Consider the following 9513-nt stretch of genomic DNA (forward strand, 5'->3'; position numbering starts at 1 on the left):
GAAGGATGAGGCAGAGTTCAGCAAAGAAGAGCAGGGGGTAGGGTCCATGCTGCAGGCAGAGGGAACAGCAGAAGCAAACGCCCAATTGTTGGAGGCGGAGTGAGTCACAGGTAGCTTGGTGGACTGGAGGACAGGACTGTGTGAGCAACAGGGGAGGTGAGCAGGGACAGGTATACCTTTGCTAAAAAATATTTATTGAGTGCATGCTAATTGTGAAAGACCTTGAATGACATTCCCAAATCCTGAATCATCTCCCTTCCTGGGCCCTGGCCTAAGTGTCTGTAACATTTGTAATGAGGATTTGTTTCTAAATTTAGTTAATTGCTGTTTGGCTTTTCCCATCTCATGGGAATAGCTCTACTAGAGGGAGTGGGCCAGGAAACTGGCCTCAAGACCAGGAATAGCAGCAGGGACATCATAGTCCAGGAGAGGAGAGATAGCAAGGGTGGCAGCCAAGGGCATGGCCTGGCCCCTTATGGTGTTTCCACCTGGCCTTTGCACTATCTTCTTGGCTGCCCATGTCTTCCTTGGGGCATGAGATCCAGCAGCCTCACTCTACAGCCTGGGGAGCATCCTGGGCTGGCTGGTGCATGTGGGGCAATTGAGTGCAGAGACTGGAGTGGAGTGGTTGAAGGAGCAGGAGGACAGAGAGGGCCCTTGGGGAAAGAGTTTTGTGAAGCAAAGTCCCAGAACAGGGAGGAAGTGGTGGTCTCAGCCAGGAGGCAGAGCCCTACAACCACAGGGCCCAGACCCTGGGAGAACTGAACCCGGGAGAAGCAAGAGGGAGCCATCATTAATTGCACAATAGTGTGCTATATGCTTTGCTTATATTATCTCACTAAAATGCCTCAATAACTTTGCAAGAAAGGGTTATTACTCCCATGTTGCATTTGGTTTTGATAGTACTAGTATAAACACAGAGAGGTTAAGTAACTTGCCCAAAGTGACACAGCCAGAAAATGTTGATGCTGAGGTCAGAACTCAGCCTGTCTGACTCCCAGTCACTTCTCTTTCCAGTGTGCCATGGTGGCCCATTGTGTTTCTTGCCTTTCTCCTTTCCTAGATCGGTGAACCTTCCTTCCTTCCTGTCTTTACATGGGCTTTTCTTTCTGTCTGGAGCACCATCTCTTTTATGCATATTCTTTACCTGATGATATTCTCATTTTCCAGGTCTGGTGCAGATGTCCTTTGTGAAAGGTCCTCTGACCCTTCCAGGTAGATTTTATTTTCTTCTTCCCTCCCTTATCCATCTATCATCACCCACCATCCATCTCTTTATGCCTTACCCATAAGGATTTCTGGCTGTCTAGGTAGAGTTCTTTGCTGCCTCCCCTGTGATCTCACAGCACTTTGAAAAACAAATGAGCACCCCAGTCAATTGCATATATTTATTTTTTGTACTTGTGTCTGTTGGCTCCACCAGCCTGGGAGCTCCCTGAGGGATGGCTGGGTCTGACTCTGTTTTGCCCCAGGCATTGCCCAGCACAGAGTCCACTTCCTGTTTTTTGCATTTGGTCTGTTTCTCAAAGAAGAGTTTTCAATATCTGCAATGATTTTGGGCTGAGACTGAGAGCATTTTTTTGATGCCAAGAGAGACATGTACAAATCACTACTGTTAGATGGGGAGAATTGAACTGGAGAAGTCACTAATAAGTGGATCCTTTCGCTTTCCCCAGGACCATAGGGTGATCCTAGAACTGTAGAGAATTGTGGACATTTCAGGGACTCCAGATTTGCCTCATTAGCCTGTGTTGCATAAACCATTGCTCAAGACTGGAGGAGACATGGAAACTCAGTGTGTCTCTGTGGGCTCACCAAGGGGATGCTGGAGCACGTGCCAGTTCTGGATGGGGATGGGTTGAGTATTAGTCAGTTTTTTTCTAGATTATGCTGTGGTAATAGACACACCATGGCATGCTCCAAATGGGGGCTTTACAATAACAAAAGTTTACTTCCTGCCCACATGATATTCTGCTTGCGGTGGCTGTGGGTTGACTGTGGCTCTGCTCCATGGGTCTTCTTTATTCCAGGAAGCAGCTGTCCCTATTTGGGACATGACATACTCAGGGCAGAGAGCAAAAGGCAAAATGGGTGAACCACACAATAGCTCTTAATGTCCCTTCCACTCATTTCGCTGGCCAAAGCAAGAGGTGTGGTGGGGTCCCATGTAAACTCTGCCCACAGGAGACCCTGCAAGCTACTTGGCAATGTAAATCCTCCTACAGGGGCAGGGAGCTGGGGTATGGATAATCAGGAGCAATAGCACATCAATCACAGGCAGTAACCATCATGTGGGCTCCAGCCAGCTCCCTCCACCAACCTCATGTGGCCCAGGCAGGTGCTTCCTGGCTTTAAGAACCTCTGGAGAAAAATGATGCCCAAATTGTATATAAAAGTGTTGCTCAGCCTGTGGGGGTTACACAGGAGTACAGAGAAAGCAGAGACAGGTGGAGTGAGCTGGTTGTGAAGACCTTTCCTCCCATCTTTGCCCAGCAAACTCCTACTCTTCCTCTGGGGTCCAATTCTAATGCCACCTCCTCTAAGAAGCCCTTGGGGATGGACCCTCCAAGCCAGGGTTGGTGCTCTTCCTCTGTGCTCCCACTGCCCCTTTGCTTTTCTCATTTCACAGCTACTCAAGTGTATGCGATGTCTGTTTTTGTGTCTGAATCCCCTGGGAGCAATGGTGTGCTGGAGTTGGCTCCTACCAGCTGTAAGAGTTGATGGTACACATCTTTTCCCAACTCTTTCTGTTCAGTGGTCATGTGTAGGTAGCTTGAAATTGACCATGGTGGGATATTTACATCACGGAAATCAGCAAATCCTACAGATAAAGAACATTTTCCTCCGGAAGTGCCAGTTGTTAAACAATTATTGTCAGCCATTGCCTTGGACTGTGGACAACATGAGGGCTGGACTGTGCCTTGCTCATCTCTGTCTTCCTGTTGAGTCTGATGGGGGTCTTGGGTGTTCCACAAGGAATGACTGAATGAGTGAGTGGGGGGATGAGGGAATGAAGTTTTGGAGATAATGGAGTAGAAAGTGAATGAATCCATGTCTGGCTGGATTTTGAGTTTCCATTGGGTCTGTCTGTCCTTCCTCCCAGGCCCTCCTCCTTCTCCCAGGCCCCTGGCTCTGAGCTCATTGCCTTAGGGTAGTTATGTGATAGGCAGGACACAGAAAGCCTGCAAGCCTTTCTGGCCTTTGTTCTGCAAATCTCTGAGCTTTTAAAATTGAGAGTGTTTACAGAGGAAGTAAAGGGGAGAAGGAGGATAAATGAGAGTACTTCTCAGAAACATAAAGGGGAGGAGGAGAGAGACAGGACCAGGTCTCTGTGTCCCAGGCAGCTTTGCTGGGGAGGTAACAAGAGCCCTGGGGGGAAGGGCTGTGGGTGCATCCAGGAGATGTTGCATTTTGGTGGCAGAGGCAGCCAGATATGCAGGATCAAGTGGGGGCTCCCAGGTATAAGCAACGTGAGTCAACTCTCAGGGACTAAGTGTCCTTCCCTGCCTGGGCCCCACATCTTAACATCATGTAAGATTCCAGAAATGTGGAATGACCCCAGAAACTTGGGGTAAGAAATTAAGTTACAGGAAACAAAGAAAGTGATGTTTCTATCTTGCTCCTATGCGGGTTCCCATGATTGAGACCTGGGATTTATACTGCCACTCATGAATAATTTAGATCAGAGGTTGGCAAACATTTTCTGTGAAGGGGCATATAGTAAATATTCTCAGCTCTGCAGGCCATATGGTCTCTGTCACAATTATTCAACTCTGCCATTGTAGTGCAAAAGCAGCCACAGACAATACGGAAATATGAATGAGTGTGGCTGTGTTCCAGTGAAACTTTGTTTATGGACACTGAAATTTGAATTTCATATAATTTTCATATGTCTCAAAATCTTCTTTTTTTAATTTCCCCCCCAAACATTTACAAATGTAAAGAGCAGTCTTAGCTCACAGGCAGTGGCCAGATCTGGCCCAGGGGCCATACGGTTTGCTGAAACCCTGATGGAGAGGACTGTGTGAGTGAGCAAATGTGCGCATCGGTCAACAAGGCAGCAGGGCACTAGTGCCTGGCAGAGGGGGCAGGAGAGCACCCTCACCTGAAGGAATAGTGAGAACCTGTCTGGAGCGAGGACACCCCCTCCTTTTTCCCTCTGCACCCTGCACCCCCACCCAGCCCTGCTATTGGCTCCCTGGGCCCTTATGCCATCTGTGGCTATCCAAGGTGCCTGCCTGTAAGAGCTGGGCCTTCGGTGGGAGGATAGCTGGGCAGCTGGACCCAGCAAGCTGGGGGGGCCAGCCGTGTTCAGTCTCCGGGAAATGAGTGTGGACACAGCGCAGGCCCAGTGGGGCTGCCCACCCTGGAATGCCTGGATCAGGTTCCCGGTGGCGTCTGAGCTCTGTAAACACAGTGGCTGGACAGGCCACCTCTCTGACGTCCATTGAAGGCAGCTCTGCCCAGGAGGAAAGCAGGATTGGGTCTGACAATTTGACATAAGCCACAGGGCAGTGTCCAGAGGCTGGGGAAGCCCAGCGACCCCCCTCCCCAATGTCTCCATGCTTGCTTGAGTGGCAGCTGCTCCCAATTACCATCCTCTGTAGAGCCAGGGGTCTTCGGAGTGGGAAGCCCCTCAGAGATCTAGGCTGCCTCTTCTGACAAAGGTGAAGAAACTGAGGCCCAGAAAGGAGCAGACACTTGTTAATTGCTGCAAGACTAGAGCTAGAAGCTTGGTCTCTGGCCTCCCACAACAGGGCTCTGGAAGATCTGAAGAAGATCCTTGGATGGCAGCTGGGAACTTGCCTCTCAACCTTCAGCTGCCCCTGGTAGGGGATTCCTTTGGACCCGTCAAGGAGCACTGGTGCGGGAGTCACTCACAGCCAAACCACACACAATGTCAAGTGTGAACACTTAGATGAATGGACATAGAGATCACAGTTGATGAACACCCACTAAGCACCAGGCTGTTAAATGCATAATATAGGCCAGCCATCTCTTGTGCCTTTTGTGGCCAGGCTGCTATTCACGTGGGAACACACTCATGGTAAATGCAGGCACATGCACACTGACATGTGCACACAATCACAGAGATGCATGGCCACGACCACTATTAGTACAGCCCCTTGTTAACATGCACATCAGCAACTGTGTCTGTCCGTGTATGCTCTTGTCAGGGACACATACATGCTCACTTGTGCACATGTATGCACACACACACCCCACACTCTCTCACACTTTTCCACTGGCAGCTCTGGCAGGTGTGCTGCCACTTGGACTTGAGATTAACAGTTCTCTCTGGGGTCTCTAGACTTTCACCTTTTTGTTCCTGATATATTTCAAAGTTCTACTGAAAAGTTTGAGGACAGGGGCTGAGGGAGGGGGCTGAGAATGGCAAAGCATTCGGCAAATGGGATAGCAAAGCAAGCAATTTAGAAAATTCTTGTCATTTTGAGCTCTTCCCAGAGATGCTCACGGGAGCCATAAAGATGCTCATGGCACCGGGCCTGCCGATGTCCAGCCTTGGGCTGGTCTCACTGCTGAGGAGCAGGCCTCCAGCTTCCTCAGGCCCAGCCTAGTCTCTTCATTGACACCAAGCCCACCACCCTCTGGTTGCTCCACCCTCCACTGAGAGTCCTGCTGGAGAGGGCTGTGCACACTCAACCCACTCTTCCCCAGACCAGGCTGCCCGGCTGCACACAACCTGCTGTAGGTTGATATGATGCAGCTAACGCTGAGAGCCAGGCACCATTTAGAGTGCTTTATATAGATTGGCTCATTGTCACAACAAACCTGTGTGTTACAAGGCCGGGCACGGTGGCTCACACCTGTAATCCCAGCACTTTGGGAGGCCGAGGCAGGTGGATCACAAGGTTAGGAGTCTGAGACCAGCCTGCCCAACATGGCGAAATCCTGTCTCTACTAAAAATACAAAAAATTAGCTGGGCATGGTGGCGGGCACCTGTAATCCCAGCTACTCGGGAGGCTGAGGCAGGATAATCACTTGAACCCAGGAGGTGGAGGTTGCAGTGAGCAGAGATCGATCTGCGCCACTGCACTCTAGCCTGGGCGACAGAGCGAGACTCTGTCTCAAAAACAAAAACAAAAACAAAAAACAAAAACAAAAAACCTGTGTGTTACAGACTATAGCTACATCCATCCTGCGGACAAAGAAACAGAGGCACAGAGAGGGAAAGCAACTGATCCTGAACCACAGGAAATAGAATAGCCAGGATTCACGTCTTAGCAATCTAGCTCACCCTCTTAATGGGTGGTAACAGTCACCATCTTAATCACTCTGTAGTGCCACCTGTTAGGACACAGGTCAGGTTAACTCCAAGAGGTTCCAGGACTTCAAGACCCCAGGGAGGACTGGGAGGAGGAGATTTGTACATCTTATGGGCACAAAGTGTGCCATGCCCTACTTTGTGCATGCCCTGTCCTGGGAGGGCCCATTGGCCTTGCCGCCATCAGATTCCACCCCTCAGGCTCTTTACACTGCAACAAGTGGATCCCTCTTCTAGCCCAGATATGGTCCTGCTAGCTCAACACCTCTGGACTGATGCAGTTTCCTTTAGGGTCCGTATTACAAGAGTTCCCACTGGATATAGCTAGGGCTAGAAGTGAGAATGCTGCACTGACAGGGCTGGGCTGTGCAGTCACCTGAGGTTGAATGTACAAAGGGGGACACAGTTCCCAAACCCATTCTTTCCTGCCCTGGGTCTTCTTCTCCCACTTGCATGTCTCATGCATGGTTTAAACTTCCCCACCTCCTACATTATGCTTATACTGTACACTCTCCATTACCTCCTCCAGCCTTCAAAGCTCACAATTGCCAACTCTTCTGGGAGCCTTCCTAGATCACACAGCTGGTATTGGCAGTCTCTGCAGGTCCCTTTTGCTCTGTGTCTGTGTCTTTATATAACCCCTCAGCCTGCCTTGGGTTGGATAGTTGCAACTGATTCTGTAGGTGCTTATTGAGTGCTGCCTATGTGCTAGGCGCTGGAAATACAGCTGTGAGCAAGACAGACATAGTCTGTACTTTCACGGAACTTCCAATCCTTCTTTGCTACTGGAATTAGGGGCTCTTCCACCAACTGGACCTTCTTAAATTTATTAATTTCATTCCCAGTGCCTGACACAGAAATAGCACGGAATAGGTGCTTAATGCATGTTTGAAGGATGGAATTTGTAATCTTGGTTCTTTATGATGCTTTAAAATTAATTTAAAAATAAATCAATTAATTTAAAAATTCAATCTGATTTACCATTCTAATTCAATTTGTTCTGGGAGGAGAGGGGTCCCCCAAGGGGCAGGGTGCAGGCTTGGGACCAGTCCTAGGCTGGTGGGGTGGGCGGGGATGGCCATCCTGTGGTGGTTGTGGCAGCAGCTGCAGAAGTGGACACATCTTTGTCTCTAGCCTTGGCCTGGCTGCCTGCCCACCCTCCCGCCTGCCATCCACATGGTGGAAATACTGACGAACAAGGCCCTTCCTGTCTTCCTCTCTTTCCCCCTTTTCTAAAAATAAGCTGGAACCTTCCCCTCATCTGCCCCCAATTTTCTCCTGCTTGACCCCGACGACCTCATACCCTCAGATGAGGCCACATGTGTGCCCACTGCTGGACAGATGGGCTGACCCCGCAGTGCAGATGGTGGGAGTGAGGAGCCCGCCCTGGCCTCTGCCCCAACCCAGCCGGCCCCTCCAGCTATGCCCTTCCTGGGAACAAAGCACTGGGCCAGCCCCTGGACTGCTGGTGGGATGGGAGAGAACTTGTTTGTAACAAAAATCTCCACCCGGGTTTTATGAACTGTCATGATAATAATAATCGCCCACATTTGTATACAAAGCACTTTCACATCCGTTATCTCCTTTAGTCCATGCAGTAACTCTTTGAGATTGGTATTATTGATAATGCCCGGAATGAACACATTAGGAAACCAGAGAGGTTCATTTACTTCGCTAAGGTTGCATAGCTAGGAAAGAACAGCACCAGGATTCAAATCTATATTTCTCAGATTCAAAATTCTGCCCCTTTACACTCTCTCTCCTGTTTGCCAATGTCTGAAATAGGCAGTGGTTTTGCAACTTTGTGCAGAGAGATTTTTTTTTTTTTTTTGAGACAGGGTCTCCCTCTGTCGCCCAGGCTTGAGTGCAGTGGTGCAATCTCTGCTCACTGTAACCTCCACCTCCCAGTCTCATGTGATCCCCCCACTTCAGCCTCTCAAGTAGCTGGGACTACAAGCATAAGCCACCACACCTGGCTACTTTTTTTTTGTTTGTTTAATAGACGGGGTTTTGCCATGTTGCCCAGGCTGGTCTTAAACTCCCGAGCTCAAGCTATCTGCCTGCTTCAGCCTCCGAAAGTGCTGGGATTACAGGCATGAGCCATCATGCCCGGCCCAGATATCTTCATATCATTCTTTTAGTTGCTATTTGTTGAGTTGGTATTAGTCACCTACTTGTGTGTCAAGCACTGTGCTGGGAGCTCCACCCTGACCCCAAGAGGAAGGAATTATTAAACTCACTTGGAGGAGGAGGAAGCTGAGACTCAGAGATGGAATGCGACTTGCCAAGGTCGTTCCGCGGTGAGACTGGGGCTTCAGTGTTTGGACTGAGGGCTGCCTGACTCCAGAGTTTTTTCTCTGCAAAACAACTCACAACAGTTGGCATCATGTGCTACCTTTTCTTGTTAAGTAATTATTAATAATTTGACAGAACATCTTTTGAGTGTCTGCTCTGTGTCAAGCATATGGACACAGGGATGAGCGAGACCCACACAACCTGCCCTAGTGGGCTTTATGAATTAGTGGAAGATGGACATGTAAATGGCAATTATGGTGCAGAGTGATAAACCATTATTAGCCATAATAGTAAGCTTTGCACAGTGCTTATTGCTCACTGAGGGCCCTCAAGGGAAATCTGGCCATTTCCATGTGATGCTGAAAACGGTCTGCTGGCCTCCCTGTGGCTGCAGCTTCATGTCTGAGCCTCCTGGCCTGGCATCCCAGGCCGTGGTGATGTGGTAGAGCCCACCTCTCCATCTTTGTCCCCTCCTGGCACCCTACCTCACTTTGTGCTCCAGCACCACCTAACTGCTAGAGGTACCTCACACACTGGGAGTTTCTCACCTTGGCTGCTTTATCCTGCTTGGCGTCTGCTGGAAATACCTCCTATCTCAGGCCCCACTTTCTCCTGGTTAACTCTTACCCTGCAAAACTCAGCTCAGATGGTACCGCCTGCCCAGGATACATGCGGTGGTTGGAAGGGGGGGATTTTCCTCTAATTGGAGATGTTTGAGCCAAGGATGGATGATCAGGGCAAAGAGACAAGTCATCTAATTTCTATGAGTTTCAGTTTCCTTTTCTGTGAAGTGGGCTCAAGAATAGGACTTAACTACAGGAAGATAAGGGGATTGCTAGAGGGAAGCACAGTAGCCTGTGGGAGCAAAGTGGAGTGTAACCCAGCCTGTGGGGTCAGGAAAGCTTCCTGGAGGACTCAACACCAAGGAGAA

General features: G+C 49.5%; 2 annotated features.

Annotated features, from left to right (window-relative positions):
* Positions 2936-3514: an enhancer, noted in NCBI's record as "OCT4-NANOG hESC enhancer chr1:48030134-48030712 (GRCh37/hg19 assembly coordinates)". NCBI's record gives its function as "activates a minimal SCP1, AML or CMV promoter by ChIP-STARR-seq in naive H9 embryonic stem cells {active_cell/tissue: H9 hESC(naive)}" and the evidence as "EXISTENCE:reporter gene assay evidence [ECO:0000049][PMID:30033119]".
* Positions 5591-6091: an enhancer, noted in NCBI's record as "H3K4me1 hESC enhancer chr1:48032789-48033289 (GRCh37/hg19 assembly coordinates)". NCBI's record gives its function as "activates a minimal SCP1, AML or CMV promoter by ChIP-STARR-seq in naive H9 embryonic stem cells {active_cell/tissue: H9 hESC(naive)}" and the evidence as "EXISTENCE:reporter gene assay evidence [ECO:0000049][PMID:30033119]".

The sequence above is a fragment of the Homo sapiens genome, chromosome 1 (genome assembly GCF_000001405.40).
Source record: "Homo sapiens chromosome 1, GRCh38.p14 Primary Assembly".
NCBI lineage: Eukaryota > Metazoa > Chordata > Mammalia > Primates > Hominidae > Homo > Homo sapiens.